Source organism: Homo sapiens, chromosome 19 (assembly GCF_000001405.40).
Source record: "Homo sapiens chromosome 19, GRCh38.p14 Primary Assembly".
Classification (NCBI taxonomy): Eukaryota; Metazoa; Chordata; class Mammalia; order Primates; family Hominidae; genus Homo; species Homo sapiens.
This window is the reverse complement of record NC_000019.10, coordinates 7,924,226-7,945,593: the sequence shown is the minus strand read 5'-3', so window position 1 is coordinate 7,945,593 and position 21,368 is coordinate 7,924,226. Positions and strand designations below refer to the sequence as shown.

Genomic DNA, 21,368 nt, shown 5'->3' with positions numbered 1-21,368 from the left:
AACTAATGGGCTCAAGAGATCCTCCCACCTCAGCCTCCTAAGTAGCTGGAATTCCAGGCGAGAGACACCATGCTTGGCTTATTTTTTTATTTTTGTAGAGATAGGGTCTCGTTATGTTGCCCAGACTGGTCTGTAACTCCTGGGCTCAAATGATGCTCCTGCCTCAGGCTCCTGAGTTGCTGGGATAATAGGACTGAGCCACGGATCCTGGCTTAAAGGAGTCTTCTATCTCCACTTTATCTTTGGGTCTTTGACATGCTTATATGACACACTGCCTCTGAGTGTCCAATGCTGTAGTTTTCTTTCTTTCCTTTCTCTCTCTCTCTTTCTTTCTTCTTCTTTTTTTTTGACACAAGGTCTCTCTCTGTTGCCCAGGTAGTGTAGTGTAGTGTAGTGTAGTGTAGTGGCACGATCACGGCTCACTACAGCCTTAACTTCCCGGGCCTCAACGATCCTCCCATCTCAGCCTCCTGAGTAGCTGGGACTACAAGCACATGCTACCACGCCAAGCTAATGTTTTGTATTTGTTGTAAAGAAGAGGTCTTCACTATGTTGCCCAGGCTGGTCTCAAACTCTTGGGCTGGAGAGATCCTCCCGCCTCAGTGTCCCAAAGTGCTGGGATTATAGGCATGAGCCACCGCGCCCGGCCAAACTCCGTACTTTCAACCACAACTAAGAATCCATATTTCTAGCCCAGACCTTATTCTTAGCAACACACCTGTGTACACCAACCGCTTAACTAGTTTGCTCCTCTTGGCATCAAGACATCTCGAACAAAGCCAGAGTGGAAGCCCTCATCTCTTACCCCCACCTTGAGGGGGAGCTCCTGAGATGGAGAACACAAGTCTATCCATCGCAGAAGCCAGGAATGCATGCTCTCCGGGGCCAAGCTGCCTCCCTTTGAAATAATGAAGTCCCATAAACCCATATCACAGGTTAGTAATGCAAAAAGACCGGGTGCGGTAGCTCACGCCTGTAATCCCAGTGACTCAGAGGCTGAGGCAGGAGGATCGCTTGAGCTTGGGAATTGGAGGCTGCAGTGAGCTAGATTACGACACTGCACTCTAGCCTGGGTGACAGAGCAAGCCTCTGGCTCTATAAAAAAAAAAAAGGATCCAATAAGACAAACAGCAACAGCAACATACATTAGCTCTCCCAGGGGACCAACCCTCCTCCTCATACCCGGATTGCATGGCCATGTTAAAATACCGCCACCTGGTGGCGGCATTCTTCGAATGGAAAATAGCATCTGGGGTGCTGAAATGACAAAGGCCTGAGCGTCTTCAGATCAGAGTGTCAGTTCACACTGAATCGAAGTAGGACTGGACCACAGTCAGCCCGCTCTCAGCTTCCTCTTCTTATTCGGGGTCAAAACCAACAGGCGTCTTCCCAAAGCGCCGCACAAGAGTGGGCTCCTTCGCTTTCTCGGAGCGACTCACTTGCTGGTCTCTCAGCCATTGTCAATCAATCAGTCATTGCAGGGGCAGCCATAGACAATTACTCTGGAGCTGGTCCGCCGGTCAATCAGAATCCAATCGAATCCGTCCTTGTGGTCGGTGGATCCACGTGCCTGTACCACCTGCCACCAGCGCCCGGCGCGTTCTGTAGCCGAATCACCGCAAGTGACGGAATACACGCCCCTGGGCTCCGCCCCCTCGTAGTCGCGCCCAATCACAGATCTGACCCTCCCAGGAGTGCCCTCCCCCGGGCCACATCCAGTCACGGGCCCCGTCCTTCCAAAACACTGCCCTATCAGAGGTCAAGCTCTCTAGGCATTCCCTACCCTTTTAATGCCCCGCCCTATGACGGACCCAATCGGAGGGCTCTCCCTACCCGAAACCCCGCTCCTGGAGCGGCTTTTCTCAGGCTTGCGCGGCTCTAGGCCGAAGCGGCGGATGACGCAACCGGGCCGCGCCGCGAGAAGGTCACACGATTCTCCAACATGGCGGCGGCGGCCCTGCGGAGTGGCTGGTGCCGCTGTCCACGGGTGAGCGGCGGTGCGGCGCTGGCAGGGCGAGCTTAGGGGTCTTCTGGGCCTTCGGCCACCAAGGCTTTCTTCTCAGACCCTTGGCCTTCGCGACCCTTGCTTGGGCTCCTTAGAAAGCTTGGGGTTAGATCTTTGGGTAGCAGAGGCCAGGACAGGGGGCACAGAGCGTGGCCTGAGGGCGGGGACCGAGCTTACCGGGCAGGGGGCGGCGATGCGCGGGACCTGGGAGGGAGCTGATCACCCTTCGCCCTCTGATCAGACTCCACGTATACAGGAGAGAGAATGGTAGCCGGGGCGGCGGCGTCCCGTGGAAAAAAGTAGAGGGGAAGGCAAAAAAACGTGAAATTCACAGCTCGCGGTTAAATGCCAAGTTCTCTACCGAGAGCATTTCTTGTCTCGTTTCTTCTAACGTTCATTGTGGATGTGCGAGAGGTGGTTCGCGCCCTAGCAGGCTCTTGGGTCCACAGGGCAGTGGCAGTCAAGACGTGTAAGGCGCACTCAGAAAGTAGTACTTCATATTGCTCGTGCTCTTCGTTTTTTCTTTTTTCTCTTTTTTTTTTTTTTTTGAGACAGAGTTTCGCTCTTGTCGCCCAGTCTGGAGTGCAATGGCGCGATCTCGGCTCACTGCAACTTCTGCCTCCTTCTGCCTCCGGGTTCAAGCGATTCTCCTGCCTCAGCCTCAGGTGGATCACCTGAGGTCAGGAGTTCGAGATCCACTGGCCCACATGGTGAAATCCCATCTCTACTAAAACCCCATCTGTACTAAAAATACAAAAAAATTAGCCGGGCATGGTGGCGCGCTCCTGTAATCCCAACTACTTGGGAGGCTGAGGCAGGAGAATCACTTGAACCCGGCAGGCGGAGATTGCAGTGAGCCGAGATCCTGCCACTTTACTCCAGCCTGGGCAACAGAGGGAGACTCCGTCTCAAAAAAAAAAAAAAAAGTTATCCTCAAGTAAATACAGGAGATAGTAGGCACCTGTGTAAGTTTGGGATGTTGCATAGGGTTCTCAGAGGTAGGAGGCAGAGAACAGAGAGAAAAACGGCCCAGGAAATGTGGAAATGGTGGAGAAGTTGTACCTGGTCTTTTGACATCAACACGCCAGGTTCTGTGCTGGGTGACAGGGTGCCGAGCTGAACAGGACCTGCACAGAGCTTTTTTTTTTTCCCCCAATTTTTTATGGAGGCAGGGTCTAGCTATGTTGCCCAGGCTGGTCTCAAACTCCTGAGCTCAAACGATCCTTCCGCCTCAGCCTCCCAAAGTATCGGGATTACAGGCATGAGCCACCAGCTCAGTGCCTGCACAGAACTTAAGGCAAGATCTCGGCTCACTGCACCCTCCACCTCCCGGGTTTAAGCAATACTACAGGTGTGTGGGACTACAGGTGTGTGCCACCACGCCCGGCTAATTTTTGTATTTTTGGTAGAGACGGGATTTCACCATGTTGGCCAGGCTGATCTCGAACTCCTGACCGGGTGATCCTCCCACCTCAGCCTCCCAACGTGTTGGGATTACTGGCGTGAGCCACCGCGCCCAGCCAGCAAGTGCCTTTTACATGAGATCAGCCCAGTCTTTGCCCAGAGCGACTCCCCTAAATTACTCTGTTTATAGCTCAACCCTTGAGGAGGACATTGTAGGTTTATTCCAGAGTTGTCCCTGGGGCAACACATTATCGATGTTTGTGTCTGAAAAATCCAGTTCTCTCATCTTTGGAGGCTGGCAGAAATGGGGTGGGCTCGCAAGAGAAGACTGCTTGCCACTAGCATAGAAGCTTAGAGTGCCTACTTTCAGACTAAGGGATTAAATTGTACATTTAGCCTTCTTCCCCCCATGGGTTGGCATTTCCTGGGACCTGTCCGTTTTCCCCCAGTTTCAGGGGCACGAGGATAGATGTAGGCCCTGGAGGTACAGACACAGCATTTTCTCTTTCCACCAGCTTCTGCTTGCTTCTCAGACTTTGGGAAGATTACAGAGTGCCCGGCATGCATCAGGCATAAGATACAAATTGGCCAGTGAGGCCAGGTGCAGTGGCTCATGCCTGTAATCCCAGCACTTTGGAAAACCGGGGGAGGGGTGGATCACCTGAGGTCAGGAGTTCGAGACCAGCCTGGCCAACATGGCAAAACCGCTTCTCTCCTAAAAATACAAATATTAGCCGGATGTGATGGCGCATACCTGTAATTCCAGCTACTCGGGAGACTGAGGCAGGAGAATCGCTTGAACCCAGGAGGCATAGGTTGCAGGGAGCTGAGATCGCAGCACTGCACTCTAGCCTGAGACTCCGTCTCAAAAAAAAAAAAAAAATGGCCAGTGAGTTGCAGGTGACCCTGCTGTTTTGTGTGTGGTCTGCTTACTTCTCAGTCAACCTCTTGTTAGAATGGATCTTTCTCTTCTCTCCCCCCAATTAGAGATGCCTCGGCAGTGGAATCCAATTTCTTTCCAGCCACAACCTACCCCATGGGTCGACCTATCAGATGCGCCGGCCGGGCGGAGAGCTGCCACTGGTGAGTGACTCAGGATGCTCGGGCCAGCAGACACAGGGGAGGCCCGAAAATTCAGATCCCATTGGCAGGAGGGAGGGGTGGGGCTGTAGAGGTGGCTCGTACCATCTCGGTGGTGGGCCTTCTGTGTCCGGGGCTTTCAGAATGACAGATCCCAGTGTGCCTGGCCTTCTCGGTCCCAGAAACACTTGACCTGCCTCTTGCTTGATGTCGTAAGGGGATAAGGTGCTGTCAGAATAGCCCTTTATGTTGGCTCTAATGCTTGGAAGAGACCCCTGTATTGAACTGAATTCTACTTCCCTGTGACCTCTGCCCGTGGGTACCTCACCAAGCATAGCTGTTTCCTTTTCTAGAAGATAGCCCTTTGATCATTGGTACAGAGTCACCTTGTCACAACCAGACCTCAGTTTCTCCTGGTCATTCCTCTTCAACTGTGCTTCTGTTGGTGTCTCAGCATCGTGAGGACAGAAGCCCAAAACCTGACTCCCTTCCCCAGACCTGTACATTCGGGCAGCGCGTACATTCTGTCTCCCTCTCTCTCTGCGCCCAGAGCCTCAGCTCAGCTGCCTCCTTGGAGGCAGCTACCTACCTCTCCAGTCCTGTCCTGGGGCCATCGTGGGTGTGGGACAGGACCTGTGACTCTTTCCCTTTCTTGTCTAGTCCCCCGCCACACACTCACTCCCATGGTTTGTAGCCCAAGAGTCTCTGGTAGGGCTGCGATAAGGTTGTGTGGTCCTGGATGATTTTACTTAGAACCTGGGTTTCCCCTGGAGAAAGGCTGGCCAGGGTGGCATCTGAATGGGACTGCAGCCTGCTGACAGGAGGCCTGGCCACCTGTCCTGGGGAGCAGCACTGGGCTTTTTTTTTTTTTTAAGATAGGGTCTCACTCTGTGGCCCAGGCTGGGGTGCAGTGGCACTATCACGGCTCACTGCAGCCTTGAACTCCTGGGCTTAAGCGATCCTCCCACCTCAGCCTTCTGAGTAGCTGGGACCACAGGTGTGTGACTCCACGGGGCCTGAGCACCAGGCTGGATGCAGCTTTCTCTTGTAGCTTGACAGGAGCCAGGGAGGGGGATCCCACCTGGAGCTGGTATACCCAACACAGCTGTGGAAAAGTTGACCACAGGCGGCCCCTTCCGCCTGATTGGATTATTGTATGATCATTCATTAAACTGTTTCTCTGTTGTTTTTTTGAAACAGAGTCTCACTCTGTCGCCCAGGCTGGAGTGCAGGGGCGAGATACCGCTCACTGCAACCTCCACCTCCCGAGTTCAAGCAGTTCTCCTGCCTCTGCCTCAGTAGCTGGGACTACAGGCAGGCGCCGCCACACCTGGCTAATTTTTGTATTTTTAGTAGAGACAAGGTTTCACCATGTTGGCCAGGCTTGTCTCGGACTCCTGGCCTCAAGTGATCCGCCCACCTCGGTCTCCCAAAGTGCTAGGATTACAGATATGAGCCACTGTGTCCAGCCTGCTTTTTTTTTTTTTTTTTTGAGATGGAGTCTCATTCCATCACCCAGGCTGGAGTGCAGTGGCACAATCTTGGCTCACTGCAACCTCCGGCTCCTGGGTTCAAGTGATTCTCCTGCCTCAGCCTCCTGAGTAGCTGGCATTACAGGCACCCACCACCACGCCCAGCTAATTTTTGTATTTTTAGTAGAGACGGGGGTTTCACTATGTTGGTCAGGCTGGTCTGGAACTCCTGACCTCAAGTGATCCACCCACCTTGGCCTCCCAAAGTGCTGAGATTACAGGCAGGAGCCACTGCGCCCGGCCTTGTTTTGCTTTCACAAGGCTTTATCTTTTGAGCAGTTTTAGGTTTACAGAAAAATCCAACAGAATGTCCAAAGAGTTGCCATGCCCCTCCTCTCCCATCTGGCACACAGTTTTCTATTCTTCACGTCCTGCATTAGTGTGGAGCATCTGTCACAATTGACAGGATGTTGATACATTATTATTAATAAATGCATGGTTTACCTTCCGGTTCCCTCTTGGTGGTGTACATTCTCTGTGATTACAGTATCATAAGAGTAGTTTCACTGCCCTAACATTTTTCTGTGTTCCCCCCTACTCATCTCACCCTCTTCCTACCAAACCCCTGGCAACCACTGATCTTTTACTGTCCCCTTAGTTTTGCCTTTTCCAGAACGGTCTATAGTTGGAATCAGACAGTATGTAGCCTTTTCAGATTGGCTTCTTTCACTTAGTGCAATATACATTTAAGGTTCCTCTGTGTCTTTTCACAGCTTGAGAGCATATTTCTTGCTTGTTTTTTAAATTATTTTATTTTATTTTATTTGAGATGGAGTCTCGCTCTGTCACCCAGACTGGAGTGCTGTGGCATAATCTTGGCTCACTGCAGCCTCTTCCTCCTGGGTTCAAGCAATTCTTGTGCCTCAGCCTTCTGAGGAGCTGGGACTAAAGGCACACACCACCATGCGCAGCTAACTTTTGCATTTTTAGTAGAGATGAGGTTTCACCATTTTGGCCAGGCTGGTCTCGAACTCCTGACCTCAGGTGATCTGCCCGCCTCAGCCTCCCAAAGTACTGGGATTACAGGCGTGAACCACCGCGCCCAGCCTGTTTTTTAAATAGGGTGCTGTGTTGCCCAGGTTGGTCTTAAAACTCATGACCTCAAGCAATCCTCCCTCCTCAGCCTCCTAAAGTGGCTGAGAGCTCATTTTTTTTTCAGCACTGAATAATATTCTGTTGTCTGGATATACCACACTTTTATCACCTGCTGTTTCTTTGTTTTTTATGATTATTATAAAAGAGATAGCTAATCATCATTAAATGTATATCAACCGAAAAGAGAACATTTAAAAAAATCCCTGAGTCCCTCTGTGGGGCATTTCATTCTATGTTCTACTATGTTCTTTAAATTTTTTTTCTTGTACATTCTTTCTAGTCCAAATCATATTCTTCTGGAAACAGAAAAGGCTTTCTGTCCGGCTTGCTAGATAATGTCAAACAAGAATTAGCCAAAAACAAAGAAATGAAAGAAAGTATAAAAAAATTCCGTGACGAGGCCAGAAGGCTAGAAGAATCAGACGTGCTCCAGGAGGCCAGAAGGAAATACGTGAGTTTCTTTGCTGCTTTTTTTTCCCTCACCCAGGCTGGAGAGTAGTGGTGCGATCTCGGCTCACTGCAACCTCCACCTCCCAGGTTCAAGTGATTCCCCTGCCTCAGCCTCCTGAGTAGCTGGGCTTACAGGCGCGCACCACCACGCCCAGCTAATTTTTGTATTTTTAGTAGTGAAGAGGTTTCACCATGTTGGCCAGGCTGGTCTCGAACTCCTGACCTCAAGTGATCCGCCCGCCTCAGCCTTCCAAAGTGCTGGGATTACAGGCGTGAGCCACCGCGTTGGGCCCCTTTGCTTCTTACCTTTCTTGGTTGACATGTTTGTTTCCAGGGCCAGGGTTTCTCCAGGCCAGGGACAGCCAGAGGAGCTCAGGGCTGGACGGTTGGGGGCAGGGTGGCTCGTGAGGAAGTGAGGTCACTGCTCTGATGCACTAATGAGAGGGAGCCAGGGGACAGGTGCGGGTCTCCAGGCCTCTGGGTTCTGCCATGAGACCATGCAGCGTTCTGTGCAGCTTGAAGCGTGGTCCCCAGACCAGCAGCAGTGGCTCCTCCTGGGAGTGGATGAGCAGTGCAGAGGCTCACACCCTCCCAAACTGCCAGGCCAGCGCCCGCATCTTCACAGGCCCCCAGGCAACGCATGCACACCAGCTATGGGATGCAGCGCTCCTGAGAGCTCCCAGCTGTAGCCCTCTGAGTGGAGCCTGGTGGAAACTGGGTGATGGTGCTGGTATTTTATTTTATTTTATTTTATTTTATGAGATGGAGTCTTGCTCTGTCATCCAGGCTGGAGTGCAGTGGCGTGACCTTGGCTCACTGCAACCTCCAGCTCCTGATTCTCCTGCCTCAGCCTCCCGGATAGCTGGGATTACAGGCGCCCGCCACCACACCCAGCTGATTTGTTGTTGTTGTTGTTGTTGTTTTTTGAAGCAGAGTCTTACTCCATTGCCCAGGCTGGAGTGCAGTGGTACGATTTTGGCTCAACACAACCTCTGCCTCCTAGGCTCAAGCGATTCTCCTGCCTCAGCCTCCCGAGTAGCTGGGATTACAGACACACACCACTACTGCCCAGCTAATTTTTGTATTTTTAGTAAAGACAGGGTTTCACCATGTTGGCCAGGCTGGCCTTGAACTCCTGACCTCAAATGATCCACCTGCCTTGGCCTTCCAAAGTGCTGAGATTACAGGTGTGAGCCAGTGCGCCCAGCCCTATATATCTTTTTATAGAGACGGGGTTTCACCATGTTGGCCAGGCTGGTCTCAAACTCCTGGCCTCAAGTGATCTGCCCGTCTCAGCTTCCCAAAGTGCTGGGATTACAGGTGTGAGCCACTGCTCCCAGCCTGTCATTATTAATTGTCACTTCTCTTCTTGAGCAGCTGCCAAGCCCTGGCTTCTGGGAATGGCTCTGCATTCCTTTATTTGTAAGGGCCCTGCGAGGCAGTTACAGTGTCCCCATTTTACCAATGAGCAGCTGAGCCTCAGAGATGCAGGCACCTGCCACGGGTCCCTTGCATTTTGGTTTGGTTTGGTTTCATTTGTGTTTTTTTGTTTGTTCGTTTTTTGTTTTTCTCCTTTGAGATGGAGTCTTGCTCTGTCAGCCAGGCTGGAGTGCAATGGTGCGATCTCGGCTCACTGCAACCTCCGCCTCCCTGGGTTCAAGCGATTCTCCTGCCTCAGCCTTCCAAATAGCTGGAATTATAGGCGCCCACCACCACGCCAGGCTAATTTTTGTATTTTTAGTGGAGACGGGGTTTCATCACTTTGGCCAGGCTGGTGTTGAACTCCTGACCTCAGGTGATCCATCCGCCTTGGCCTCCCAGAGTGCTGGGATTACAGGCATGAGCCACCGTGCCCAGCCTAGTTTGGTTTTTTGAGACAGGGTCTTGCTCTGTCACCCTGGCTGGAGTGCAGTGGTGTGATCACAGCTCACTGCAGTTTTGACCTTCCCATGTTCAGGTGATTCTCCCACCTCAGCCTCCTGAGTAGCTGTGACTAAAGGCATGGGATACCACGCCTGGCTAATTTTTTTATATTTCTAGAGACAGGGTCTCGCCATGTTGCCTGTGCTGGTCTCGAACTCTCTGGGCTCAAGCGATCCTCCCATCTCAGCTTCCCAAAGAGCTGGGACTACAGCTCACATGCCCAGCCCCTCTTTATCATTAATGCAGGGGTCATCTGAAGACATAGCAGGCTGAGTTTGGAGTGGGATGGATGGAGCGGGAGACATAAGACCAAGCTGTGGTGGCTGGAGGCTGGATGAGGGGCACAGTGATGACAGGCAAGGCCACCTCCTACCACCCGGTGAAAGGTGAAGGCTGGGCCTCCTGTTCTCAGGAGGTAGCTGCCAAGCGGGGACCCGAGTCTGCCGGCCTTCTGAGCAAGGAGCTCACCGCTGCTGAGACCCTCAATCCAAGCCATGTGGGCAGCCGGGGGCCCTGGAGGCAGCACATGCTGGCAGGTGCGGGGAGGGAGGGGCTGCGGAGAAGATGCTTCTTGGACCTTTGGCTGTAAGAGAAATGTCACTGCCGTGTCAGAACATACAGACTTAAAGACACAACGGTTGGCCAGGCACAGTGGCTCACACCTATAATCCCAGCACTTTGGGAGGCCGAGGCGGGTGGATCACTTGAGGTCAGAAGTTTGAGACCAGCCTGGCCAACGTGGTAAAACCCTGTCTCTACTGAAAATACAAAAATTAGCCAGGCATGGTGGTGGGCCCTGTAGTCCCAGCTACTCGGGAGGCTGGGGCAGGAAAATCGCTTGAATCTGGCAGGAGGAAGTTGCAGTGAGCCGAGAGCGTGCCACTGTACTCCAGCCTCGGCAACGGAGACATTGTCTCAAAAAAAAAAAAAAAAAAAAGGACACAGCGCTCTTTACCTAGAAAACCATCGAGTCAGAAACCGTGCGGACGAGCGAGGTGCTACGGAAGAAGCTTGGGGAGCTGACGGGCACCGTGAAGGAGGTAACAGTTCCACGCCCGCCTGGAGCCGCTGGGGCCATCAAAGTCCCCTGGCCGCTGGAGGCTGGAGGAAGAGTCGGCTCCTGGGTGGGGGTGGCTTGGCAGCAGTGGGTGGCATGGGGCGTGCTGCCACCCTCGGGAAGGTTTCAGGAGTTCCCGGCACATGCAGGGTGAGGTCAGACTGGCAACCTTGCATGACCGTTGACCCAGGGAGTCGGCAGCAGTAAGTGCTGCTAGCCAGGACTCGAGGAGAACATGAAAATGTTTTTCCTGCCTAAAAATAGGAGGAGAGGGGCCGCTTCCACCCCCTCCCGAGGGTAGAGGCGGGAGGCAGGATTCCTGGGGTGCTGCGGCTCTCCTCGGTTGTCTGTTCTGTCCAGCTTTGCGCAGCATGGGGCGCCCTCACCGCCGTTCTTTCCCCGGGGTCCCCTCCTTGGGAATCCTTGCTGCCAGGCAGTTCCCGGGTCTCCAGAGGACTCCTGCCCATTTTGGAAAGGGGCCAGCAGACCCAGCGTCTCACCCAGAGCCCAGGGCCAGCATCCCGGAAGCCGTGGCGGTGTGCTCATGGCTCTGGGGGTGCCGGTGTGCTCATGGCTCTGGGGGTGCCGGTGTGCTCGTGGCTCTGGGGGTGGCGGTGTGCTCGTGGCTCTGGGGGTGCCGTTGTGCTCATGGCTCTGGGGGTGCCGCGTACCACAGGAGCACAGAAGGCCTCTGCCGGCCTCGGGGAACCAGATCCGCCCTTCTCTCCGGCAGGAATTCATTCCTCCTGCCCCGCCCCCCGGCCGCCAGGGCCGGTGCCAACGCCCCCTCTCTGTGTCTGTCTCAGTAGAGCCTTCACGAAGTCAGTAAAAGTGATCTCGGCCGGAAAATCAAGGAGGGCGTGGAGGAAGCAGCCAAGACGGCCAAGCAGTCGGCCGAGTCGGTATCCAAAGGCGGGGAGAAGCTGGGCAGGACAGCGGCCTTCAGAGCCCTCTCCCAGGTGAGCCCAGTCCTGGGCTAGGGCATGCAGCCTGGGGCGGCCGAACCCAGACACCCACCCCAGCCCCGCTGTGCCTCCCTCGCAGGGGGTGGAGTCCGTGAAGAAGGAAATTGACGACAGCGTCCTGGGACAGACCGGGCCCTACCGGAGGCCCCAGCGACTCCGGAAGAGAACGGAGTTTGCGGGAGATAAGTTCAAGGAGGAGAAAGTGTTTGAGCCAAACGAGTAGGTACCAGCCCGTGGCCCTCGCTGCCCCCATTTTGGGCAGCTTTCACTGCTGTCCATTTCGGGAGCCCACCAATGGTTCCCTCCTGAGTCCGTTTCTTGAGTTTGCCTTCTGCCCAAGGTTCCCGGCTCCCTCGAATTTGAGGGTGAGAGGTGAGGGCGGGGTCCTCAGAGCCCCTAGGTTTGAGGTCTCAGCTGCCTGCTGTCCTGTACTGCCCCCTGCCTGCAGCCGCAGGAGGGCACAGGGTGGCCCTGGCGCCGCCGCTCACCCCAGGGCCCACCCTCTTCCCCAGGGAGGCCCTGGGGGTCGTGCTGCACAAGGACTCCAAGTGGTACCAGCAGTGGAAGGACTTCAAGGAGAACAACGTGGTGTTTAACCGTGAGTGAAGGTGTCTTGGAGGGCAGGTGACTGTGTCCCGGGCAGTTGGTGGACCGCAAGGTGATCCCCCTGCATTGGGCACAAGACAGCCCCGTTTTGCAGAGGAGGAGATCGGGGTCAGAGTGGGCCGGTCACTTCTTTGCGGTCACATGATGGTGGGGCTGTAGATTCTGCCGCCAGAAGCCAGGTGCTCCCTCATAAGCACAGTCAGGGCCCCGAAACGAGCCGCAGGCCCCTGTCCCTTGTCCTGTGAGGACTGCTAGAGGCCTGTGTTTCCTTTGTAGTGAAAGCAACAGCCAGTGGGGTGGCGGCCCATAACTTACACAGCCCCATTAGGGCCGCAGCTGAGGGGCCTCTGCGCCTGGCCAGGTAGGTGGGCAGGCAGCGGTCCCCAAGCACAGATGAGGATGCAGGTCCACAGCCGTCCCCTCCCTGACCCCACCCGTGTCAGGGTGGATCCCGCAGGGGTCACAGGGAGCCTCTAGAAGCTGTGAGGGAGGGTTGTGTTTCTGGAAGGGGCCCCTTCTCCAGCACCTACCCCATCTTCCACAGGGTTCTTCGAGATGAAGATGAAGTATGACGAAAGCGACAACGCGTTCATCCGGGCATCCCGGGCCCTTACGGACAAGGTCACCGACTTGCTGGGTGAGTGAGTCATCCCTGGACCTCGCAGGCTGGTGGTGGGGCGGGGTCCCCGGCCTTCCCCCCGAACTCCCGGCTCTGCTCCCTGCAGGGGGCCTGTTCTCCAAGACAGAGATGTCGGAGGTGCTCACGGAGATCCTCCGGGTGGACCCGGCCTTTGACAAGGACCGGTTTCTGAAACAGTGCGAGAACGACATCATCCCCAATGTCCTGGAGGTGGGTGCCACACCCCCAGGACCCCTCCCAGGCGGCAGGTCCTGGCTCCACCACCTCCCCCGCCGCAGCCGGCACCCTGGGTGCTGCCAGGGAACTCTGCTGCCGAGGCTGTTTTCTGAGGAGGCTGGTTGCACACGGGCTCCTGCCCGGCTGCAGCTGCCCCATGAGCTGTGCCCGAAGCCCTTCCTGGGCCTTACCGGCACCTCCGGTACCTCCAGGTCTGTTTCCCTCACTCCTCCTGCCTGAGGCTGTTGTTCCTTTGAGGTTGCTGGGAGCAGCTGCTGGAGGCTAGGGATTGTCTCAGGTGCCTGGAGCCCCTCACCCCTTGGGAGAAGTGGGCGTCTGTCTTCAGACATCAGAGCTGGCCCCAGGCCACGTCTGACCCAGAGCTGCAGCCGTGAGGTTCCCTCACGGTGCTGTCCCTGGCAACCAGACCCTTGTTGGGCTTATAGATGAGGGTATCTTGCTCAAGGTCATGCTGCAGCCTGCCCCCTATAAGCCTCTCCCTGAGGTTGGTGGCCTCTTGTCTTCCCTGCTGCCTCTGCCTCTCTGCAGCCCCCAGGATGCAGGAGGAGCCTGGACACCTTCGGCCCAGTCGGGCCAGGCCTCTGGAAGGCCCTTCATGGGACTCTCCATCCTTGGCCCCGCCGGCCTCCGCCCAACGTCCTCTTCCTCCTCCAGTTTCCCGTATCCTTCCCGCCACTTCGGGCAGGGCTGGGAGGTGGTGCGGATGGGCGCCATGCCCCAAAACAGCAGCCTGAGCACCGCAGTGCCTTCCGGGATGGGTGATGGGTGCCAAGTGTTCTGGCCACCCGCCCCCTGCCGCTCACAGCTTTCACCACCAGCATCCGGCTCCTTCCCGCTCTTCTCCCCGCTCCAGGCACCTCCCTCCCCCTCATCGGATCCGGCCCAGGCTCCAGGATCCTGTGGAAGCAGCTCCCAGCCCAGGCACGCCCCCTGCAGCCCACCCCTCCCTCTCGCTGCCCCCAGCAGTTAGGAGGCAGCCGGTCCCATGGTGGGCCTTGCAGTCCGAAATGTGGTCCCCTGGGGGGACAGAGGACATGGGCTCACTGCGGGAGCCGGAGTTGGGTCCTCATCTCCCTGGCTTGGATTCCTGACCAGGCTGAAAGCTGGGTCCCCAGCCACCTTTCTCTTCCTCCACCAGGTTCCAGGGGGGTCCCCCTGTGGGGTGCCTCCTGGGTGGTCGCCCGCAGGCCGCCCTCCGCCTGTGCCTAGGCCAGAGCCAGGCACTGACACCAGCAGGGACGGGCCTGGGGGGGACACCCAGTGCCACAGCTCCACCCGCGCCCCACAGGTGGCAGCCGGGGGTGTCTGAGGAAACTCCCCACCCCGCACCACTGGAGAATGTTCCCAGGACCTCGCCTGCTGCCTGAAAAGCCCACTCTCGTTCTGGTGCTTATTTTCCCTTCCTTTTTAGGCCATGATTTCTGGAGAGCTTGACATTCTCAAAGACTGGTGCTATGAAGCTGTGAGTACTTCCTTTCTTTTTCTTTTTTTTTTTTTAAGGCCTAAAAAATCACCATGGAGAAGTTCCACTTCGGTGGCTCCGTTGGGGTAGCTCCCAACAGGCAGGACCTGGGCTCCCGGTGGGGGAATCCTCACGTCTCACCCTCCGAGAGCCTGACATCCCCCCCTGCCCCTTTCCATTCCTCAGCATGTGACACATCTGGGCTCTCAGGCTGGACACCGGGTCACCCGCCAGTCCTTTGCTCCCAGACTGTAAACTTTGTTAGGGAGAATCCTTCTCTGGGCTGGTGTCTAAGAGATGGCTGGTTGGGGGTGTCCCCTGGGCCTGTGAGAGATCACAAAGCTGCCAATTTTACTGGGCCTTTTTTTTCCCTCCAATCTTAAAATAATTTTGGTTAGGTCTGGGCACGGTGGCCTATGCTTTCAATCCCAGCAGCCCAAGGCGGGAGATTGCTTGAGCCCAAGCATTCAAGACTAGCCTGGGAAACATAGCAAGATCCCGTCTCTACAAAAACATTTAAAATGAGCCAAGTGGCAGGGTGCGGTGGCTCATGCCTGTAATCCCAGCACTTTGGGATGCCAAGGCAGGCGATTGCCTGAGCTCAAGAGTTCGAGACCAGCCTGGGCAACATGGTGAAACCCCATCTCTACTAAAATAAAAAGTTAGCCAGGCATGCTGGTGCATGTCTGTAATCCCAGCTACTGGGGAGGCTGAGGCAGTAGAATTGCTTAAATCCGGGAGGTGGAGGTTACAGTGAGCTGAGGTCGCGCCACTGCACTTCAGCCTGGGCAACAGAGCAAGATTCTGTCTCCAAAAAAAAAAAAAAAAAAAAAAGAGCCAAGCATGGAGGCAGGCACCTGTTGTCCCAGCTATTAGGGAGGCTGAGGTGGGAGGATCACTTGAGCTCACGAGGTCAAGGCTGCAGTGAGTCATCGCAGCACAGCACTCCAGCCTGGGTGACAGATCAAGACACTGTCACTAAGGAAATAGGTCGGGCACGGTGGCTAACGCCTGTCATCCCAGCACCTTGGGAGGCTGAGGCGGGCGGATCACCTGAGGTCAGGAGTTCGAGACCAGTCTGGCCAACATGGTGAAACCCTGTCTCTACTAAAAATACAAAAATTAGCCAGGCCTGGTGGTGGGCGCCTGTAATCCCAGCTACTCGGGAGGCTGAGGCAGGAGAATCGCTAGAACCCAGGAGGCGGAGGCTGCAGTGAGCCGAGATTGCACCACTGCACTCCAGCCTGGGCAACAGAGCGAGACTGTCTTAAAAAAAAAGAAATAATAATTTAGGGAAGGAGAGTCCCAGGAGAGGTGGTTGCAGCCATGAAGTAAAATGAGGTGTCTGGGGGCCGACTGCCCTATTTCAGGTGGCTGCAGTGGCCTGGGGTGCAGGCTGGGGCCGGGGGTCAGGGACAGTGTGGGTCTCCCACATGACTGGGGGGGGGCTGGGAGTCAAGTGGGGTTTGAAGGTGTCACCCATCCCACTTCCCAGGCCAGAGCAGAGTCCCTGTGCTCACCTCCCACGGGTCGTGAGAATGAAGTGTGATCACAGAAACCAGGGCAGTGCTGGCCCCGGGCCAGAGGGAACCCACAGAGGTAACCCTGGTAACCAAACAGCCCCTGGAAGAGTTGGGGGAGCTTTCATCGGTGACCCGGGGCCGCCACCTATGGGGCACGGATGGGGTTGCGGCAGTGGGTGCCCCTCCCCAGGCCCTGGGAGCCTCTAGCTGTCCTCACGACATGATCCTGAAACATAGATCCAAACAAAACATCGATAGTCTTCCCACACCAGGAAGGAGCTGTGTCCTGATGAGGCCTCAGCTGCTTCTCAGAGTCAAAGCTTGGGGTTCGGGGGCCACCAGCAGCACCGCGTACCTGGGGTCTGGTCTAGCTGTCTGCCCCATCCCTGGCAGCCTCCCTGTCCCTGCCCGAGTCCATCCCTGTGGGGCTCCCAGCTCTCATCTCCTCAGGCCACCTCATCTCACCCTATTCGCTCCCCGACCTGTGTGTTTCTTTCCCCTGGCTTCTTCGTATTAAGCGATCCAGAATCGTTCTTGGCTAATTCTATTCTGCACCCAGCTCATAAACAACTTGGAAAAAGCAGAGGAGAAGATGTCAGATTTTCTTTTTAAATACTCCCCTGCATGGTGACTAATCCAGCAGGCATTTATGAGTTTCGATGTGGATTTTTTTTTTTTTTTTTTTTTTTTTGGTTTTTTGTTTTGTTTTTACCTTGGGACCATTACGCCACAGCTGACTCGCTTTGCCAGGGAGCTGCTGGTGCCCTGGAAACACAGCTGAAGTTCCAGCCACGTCCACAGAAGTGTTTTTAAAATGTCACCTTTAAGAAACCGAACAAGTAGGATTGGCTCTGTTTTTTTTTTCTCTCCCCTCCGCGGATCAGTCATTTCCATAAAAAGTAGATGCTATCAGAACATCTTTTCTCTCATGGTTTCATGCCAAGCCCAGAGAAACCTCCAGCGAAAACGTGTCTCGGGGGCTGCTTCCTGTGCCTGGCACAGGCGCAGGGGGTTGAGGGTGACACTGGGGGCTGGTCAGTGACAGAGGCAGCCTCAGGCTGAGGACAGATCCTAGAAGAGGCGTTTGATCTCAGGCCAAGATTCAGAGTGCGGCGAATATGGAAGTATTAAAGATCAGCCAAGGGGCCGCCAGCTTAGCCCTGGGAGTAGATTTGGGATTTTGTTCCAAGAGAATCACCCACTTTGCTGATTAATCCTGTTTTCATTGGGTCATCTGGATAGAGTGTTGTTCCCAGGAGTGGGAAGCGTGTGATCTGGGCCAGTAAGTGGGTGGCACCTGCCTCCCCACTTGGACCTGGGTTCTTGGCCTCTGCCATTGCTGGCTGGCGGCAGGGCACCTGGGCGCCAGGGTGTGTGGGCAGCAGCTCTGTGTGGCGTGGTGCCCACCCTGGGTGGCATCACGCAGGCGTGTCGGCCTCTCATTGCAGACTTACAGCCAGCTGGCCCACCCCATCCAGCAGGCCAAGGCACTGGGTCTCCAGTTCCATTCTCGCATCCTAGACATTGACAACGTCGACGTAAGCACCTCGCAGTGGGGGCCCGGGCCACCATCGGGGGTGGGAACTATGGCCCAGACAAGGCCCAGGAGGTGGCCTTGCCAGGGGCTGGGGGCCATGGGCTGATCCAAGAGGTCTTGGGCTTGTCCAAGGGGAGGGTCTCGAGGGAGGCCTGGTCCTGGCCTGAGAGGCAAGGCCCACGGGGAGGGACCGGTGCTGGGCCTGGTGCTGGAGCCTTCTCCTAGCAGGGCCTAGGCGCAGGGGTTTCACCTCCAGGGGAGCAGCCGGGCTGTCCTCTGAGGCACATCCCCCCTCTCGGCCCCTCTGCAGCTGGCCATGGGCAAGATGATGGAGCAGGGGCCGGTGCTGATCATCACCTTCCAGGCACAGCTGGTGATGGTGGTCAGGAACCCCAAAGGCGAGGTGGTGGAGGGTGACCCGGTGAGTGAGGGAGTGGGATGGGGCAGGCACATGACACCGCCTGTCCCCAAGATCTGTGTGTGGCCACCTGGCAGAGACCCCAGCTCAGAGCCCTGAAGCTCTGGGACTGGGTGGGGATGTGGAGAAACCTCTGGGCCAGAGTTTGGGGTTGAGGGAGGTCGGAGACCAGCAGACCTGTCTGTTTTTACCAAGGCTGAGTGGTTCCTGAGTCTAGGCAATTGTGCTGGCCTCTGCTCCCAGCCCCTGGGGAAGTTGCCGGTGGCTCCTGCCCCACAGAGCCTGGCCCCCCCCCAGAGCTGCCTGGGTCACCTCAACCCTCTCAACAGTGCCCTTCCCACCCCACCCTGCAGGACAAGGTGCTGCGGATGCTGTACGTGTGGGCGCTCTGCCGAGACCAGGACGAGCTCAACCCCTACGCGGCCTGGCGGCTCCTGGACATCTCGGCCTCCAGCACCGAGCAGATTCTCTGAGTGTGGTGCCGGAGCCAGGTAGCCCCGGCCTGGGTCATCAGGCACAGAGGCACCGCAACACCACCTGCGGCAACTCCAGACCTCTGGGAACAAGACTGCGGGCTCTGCCCCCAGCTCTGCCAGGACGGCTGCAAGACCAGCTGGCCCGGGAGGGGACAACGGGCTGTTGCGGGTGCGCGGCAGCTGGAGACACTCCCCCGCAGGGCCAACCCCTGCCCTGTTGCTCTGCCCTGCAGGGGTCCCGGCGCCTGGTCACCTGGGGTGCACACAGGTCACACAGTGCCAAGAGGCCCCAGGGCCCAGGGACTCCCCCCACAGCAGGGTGGGACCCGGGACCCGCGGCTCAGTGGCCCGCTAGCCACGTCAGCCAAGCCACTTTAGGTCCATTTTTTAATTTTAACAGTGCTCTTCCATCTTGTGCATAAGCCTGAGATTTGGAAAGAATAAAACACCGAATTGCAGAAGAGCAGCTACGGAGTCTGAAGTGTCTTCTCTGGCGCGGGAGTGGCCGAGGCGATGGTGGGGGTGGGAGCAGGCGGCTGCTGTGGGAGGCGGTCAAGGTCGAGTGAGGAACTGCAGCCGCAGTGGGTGGACGCCTTGCCCAGGGCTGGACCCTGAGTTGGAAGACGAGGCCAGTGACAGACAAAACTAGGGGGACTTACTCATCCCAGTGACCTGCCTGAGCTCTCTGAGAATTGAGGTCCCCAGGGCCGGGGGAGCTTGAGTGCCCATATGAGTGTTTTAGGGCCACTGAGGTCCCCCCACAAACAGGGAGTCTCGAGTGGGGTCTATCGCGGAGGAGAATGCAGGCACAGGGCAGGCTGGGGGGCCCGAAGTGCCAGGGGAGGTGGGAGTGGCAGCTGCCCACTCCCCGGCGAGGTCGTGGGTGCTCGCGGGTCCTCGGGGCTGGGGTTCCGTCCTCCCGCAGGCCCGGGCGGGGTCGCTGGCTCGCGCGCCGCTCCCTGCGCAGCCTCCGCCCCCTGCAGCCCCGCCCCCCGCGGCGGCCCCGCCCCCGTCGCCATAGGAACAGCCGCGGCGGCCCGGCTCGCGCGCTGCTTGCCTGCCTCGGTCTCCGCCGCTCCAGGGGCGGGTGGGGTGGGCTGAGCCGGAGCCCGGGCCGCCGCCGCCGCCGCCGGGGAGAGGCCGAACGCGCAGCCGGCGCGGGTCCCTGAGAGAGCGCGGCCGCCGGGCGGTCGGTCCCCGTCCGGGTCGAAGCCAGGGTGAGGGGCGCGCCGGGGCGGGGGCGGTGGGGGAGGGGGTCCCAGGCCGCCGAGAACAAAGGGAGCGGGGGCAGGGGCCGCGGGGACCGTCCCCACGCCGCGCGCCCGGGCCGCGGCCGCGCTTTCGCACCTGTTGTGTGCGGCCCAGGCCGGGCGCGGCTCCGTTTCCCGGCTCTCAGCGCCCCCACCTGCGCGCACGGCCAGAGTTGGGTCCCCGCGTGGTGGTGGCGGCGATCCGGCGGGCCGGGCATGGGCGTAGCCCGGGGACCGAGGCGCGGGCGGGGGATGGGGTCGGGCACGTTAAGGGAGGCGGCGGCGGCGGCGGCAGGAGGGGGCGAAGCGGAGGAGGCGCGGGAGGGAGGGCGCAGCCTCATCCCCGGCGCCCGGGGCGGGTCCCCTCCTCCGCAGGGCGCGCGGCGATGTGAGCCATGAGCGCGACGTGGACGCTGTCGCCGGAGCCCCTGCCGCCGTCGACGGGGCCCCCGGTGGGCGCGGGCCTGGACGCGGAGCAGCGCACGGTGTTCGCCTTCGTGCTCTGCCTGCTCGTGGTGCTGGTGCTGTTGATGGTGCGCTGCGTGCGCATCCTGCTCGACCCCTACAGCCGCATGCCCGCCTCGTCCTGGACCGACCACAAGGAGGCGCTCGAGCGCGGGCAGTTCGACTACGCGTTGGTGTGAGGGGCGCGGCGCCCCCTAGCCGGCCCTGCGCCGGGGTCTCAGAGGGCCGGCCCGGCGGGGGGCGCCGCGGGGCCAGGACTGCGCTCAGGATCCCGCCCCGGAGCCCCCAGCCCGGGGGAGAGGGGGAGGGAGTTGGGAGAAGCCCAGCCCCTCCCCCTCGAGACCCCTCCCATGTCCCTTCCTGGCCTGGCCGGAGCCCCACCTCGTGCCTTTATCCGCCCTGTCCCTTCCTCTCTGCGCATCTCACCCGCCCGGCTGGCCCCCACCCCCGACTCTGAATCCCGGGCGGGAGGAGGACCCCCGCACCGCCCCCTCCCCAGCGTGTAAGTGGCTCTGCTATTGTGCGTCCCTGGAAGTGGGGACCCCCTTGTCCCTCCTCCCTCCCCTGTTGTCTGGCCGTCGTCAACCCCACCTTGACTGAGTGTTGAGCCCGTCCTTGGGCTCTGGTCCCTGCGGGGCAGGCTCTCCCGGGCCCACGGGGCGGACGCTGCATACCAATTTGCCCTGCACCGCCTGTCCCGGAGACGGAGCCCGAAGGCCTGCCATGGCGGCTGTGTCGAGGATGCGTGGCGCCTGCCGTGGCGGGACAGCGTGGGCAGGCTCATTTCTGCCCCCAACCCGGGCCCCAGGACAGGTCAGCGCGCCCTGCCCCGGTGCCCACCGCTGCCCCCCATCCGCCCTCCTGCCACTTGCCCCTGACCCCCCTGCCGTGCCTCCCGCAGCCCTCCCATGCCGTTCCACTCCTCCCTGCCTCTGAGCCGAACATGATAATAAAAGCTATTATTGAGCGCTTACTGCATGCCAAGTAGCGTGCTGAGTTGGCACCTCCTGTTTATAGCCTGTCTCCTCTTCGGGATCGTGAGAATGAGCCAGGCCCTGTTAGCATCCCTATTCTACAGGCCAGGAGACCGAGGGCCAGGCAGCTCCAGTGACTGACTTGCCCACAGTCACATGGCTAGAGTCTGGTAGGGCTGGAAGTGGAACCCAGGTCTGGCTTTTGCATGTTTTTAAAGCTTCCCAGGGCTGCAAAGACACCAAGATCACAAGCACCTTTCACCGGCTTT

General features: G+C 57.7%; 2 protein-coding genes and 1 long non-coding RNA gene across 3 annotated transcripts, besides 10 other annotated features; 2 read left to right on the top strand and 1 right to left on the bottom strand.

Moving 5' to 3' along the window:
- Positions 734-1,276: an enhancer, noted in NCBI's record as "H3K27ac hESC enhancer chr19:8009203-8009745 (GRCh37/hg19 assembly coordinates)". NCBI's record gives its function as "activates a minimal SCP1, AML or CMV promoter by ChIP-STARR-seq in naive H9 embryonic stem cells {active_cell/tissue: H9 hESC(naive)}" and the evidence as "EXISTENCE:reporter gene assay evidence [ECO:0000049][PMID:30033119]".
- Positions 1,277-1,820: an enhancer, noted in NCBI's record as "NANOG-H3K27ac-H3K4me1 hESC enhancer chr19:8008659-8009202 (GRCh37/hg19 assembly coordinates)". NCBI's record gives its function as "activates a minimal SCP1, AML or CMV promoter by ChIP-STARR-seq in naive H9 embryonic stem cells {active_cell/tissue: H9 hESC(naive)}" and the evidence as "EXISTENCE:reporter gene assay evidence [ECO:0000049][PMID:30033119]".
- Positions 1,725-1,794: a silencer, noted in NCBI's record as "silent region_10004". NCBI's record gives its function as "represses an Ori minimal core promoter by ATAC-STARR-seq in GM12878 lymphoblastoid cells {active_cell/tissue: GM12878}" and the evidence as "EXISTENCE:reporter gene assay evidence [ECO:0000049][PMID:35858748]".
- Positions 1,821-2,363: an enhancer, noted in NCBI's record as "NANOG-H3K27ac-H3K4me1 hESC enhancer chr19:8008116-8008658 (GRCh37/hg19 assembly coordinates)". NCBI's record gives its function as "activates a minimal SCP1, AML or CMV promoter by ChIP-STARR-seq in naive H9 embryonic stem cells {active_cell/tissue: H9 hESC(naive)}" and the evidence as "EXISTENCE:reporter gene assay evidence [ECO:0000049][PMID:30033119]".
- Positions 1,825-2,194: an enhancer, noted in NCBI's record as "active region_13903". NCBI's record gives its function as "activates an Ori minimal core promoter by ATAC-STARR-seq in GM12878 lymphoblastoid cells {active_cell/tissue: GM12878}" and the evidence as "EXISTENCE:reporter gene assay evidence [ECO:0000049][PMID:35858748]".
- TIMM44 (translocase of inner mitochondrial membrane 44) lies at positions 1,928-18,876 on the top strand. Its single transcript, NM_006351.4, has 13 exons — positions 1,928-1,987; positions 4,397-4,492; positions 7,397-7,567; positions 10,449-10,529; positions 11,356-11,505; positions 11,591-11,730; positions 12,024-12,109; positions 12,662-12,754; positions 12,843-12,967; positions 14,406-14,456; positions 17,428-17,517; positions 17,827-17,937; positions 18,288-18,876. The coding sequence occupies exons 1-13, from the start codon at positions 1,943-1,945 to the stop codon at positions 18,405-18,407; spliced, it is 1,359 nt and encodes a 452-aa protein (NP_006342.2). The 5' UTR covers positions 1,928-1,942; the 3' UTR covers positions 18,408-18,876.
- Positions 2,364-2,907: an enhancer, noted in NCBI's record as "NANOG-H3K27ac-H3K4me1 hESC enhancer chr19:8007572-8008115 (GRCh37/hg19 assembly coordinates)". NCBI's record gives its function as "activates a minimal SCP1, AML or CMV promoter by ChIP-STARR-seq in naive H9 embryonic stem cells {active_cell/tissue: H9 hESC(naive)}" and the evidence as "EXISTENCE:reporter gene assay evidence [ECO:0000049][PMID:30033119]".
- Positions 15,956-16,250: a silencer, noted in NCBI's record as "tiled region #3551; HepG2 Repressive DNase matched - State 12:CtcfO". NCBI's record gives its function as "represses a minimal TATA promoter and a strong SV40 promoter by Sharpr-MPRA in HepG2 cells {active_cell/tissue: HepG2}" and the evidence as "EXISTENCE:reporter gene assay evidence [ECO:0000049][PMID:27701403]".
- Positions 18,029-18,778: an enhancer, noted in NCBI's record as "H3K27ac-H3K4me1 hESC enhancer chr19:7991701-7992450 (GRCh37/hg19 assembly coordinates)". NCBI's record gives its function as "activates a minimal SCP1, AML or CMV promoter by ChIP-STARR-seq in primed H9 embryonic stem cells {active_cell/tissue: H9 hESC(primed)}" and the evidence as "EXISTENCE:reporter gene assay evidence [ECO:0000049][PMID:30033119]".
- LOC124904629 (uncharacterized) lies at positions 18,784-20,189 on the bottom strand. The gene is made up of 2 exons (XR_007067120.1): positions 19,758-20,189; positions 18,784-19,021 (listed from the first exon to the last, which is right to left on the bottom strand). It is a non-coding gene; the product is annotated as an uncharacterized LOC124904629 (long non-coding RNA).
- Positions 19,275-19,544: a silencer, noted in NCBI's record as "silent region_10003". NCBI's record gives its function as "represses an Ori minimal core promoter by ATAC-STARR-seq in GM12878 lymphoblastoid cells {active_cell/tissue: GM12878}" and the evidence as "EXISTENCE:reporter gene assay evidence [ECO:0000049][PMID:35858748]".
- CTXN1 (cortexin 1) lies at positions 19,459-21,103 on the top strand. Its single transcript, NM_206833.4, has 2 exons — positions 19,459-19,627; positions 20,036-21,103. Exon 2 carries the CDS (start codon positions 20,056-20,058, stop codon positions 20,302-20,304), a length of 249 nt encoding a protein of 82 aa, NP_996664.1. The 5' UTR covers positions 19,459-19,627; positions 20,036-20,055; the 3' UTR covers positions 20,305-21,103.
- Positions 20,075-20,164: a silencer, noted in NCBI's record as "silent region_10002". NCBI's record gives its function as "represses an Ori minimal core promoter by ATAC-STARR-seq in GM12878 lymphoblastoid cells {active_cell/tissue: GM12878}" and the evidence as "EXISTENCE:reporter gene assay evidence [ECO:0000049][PMID:35858748]".
- Positions 21,104-21,368: the final 265 nt, after the last annotated feature.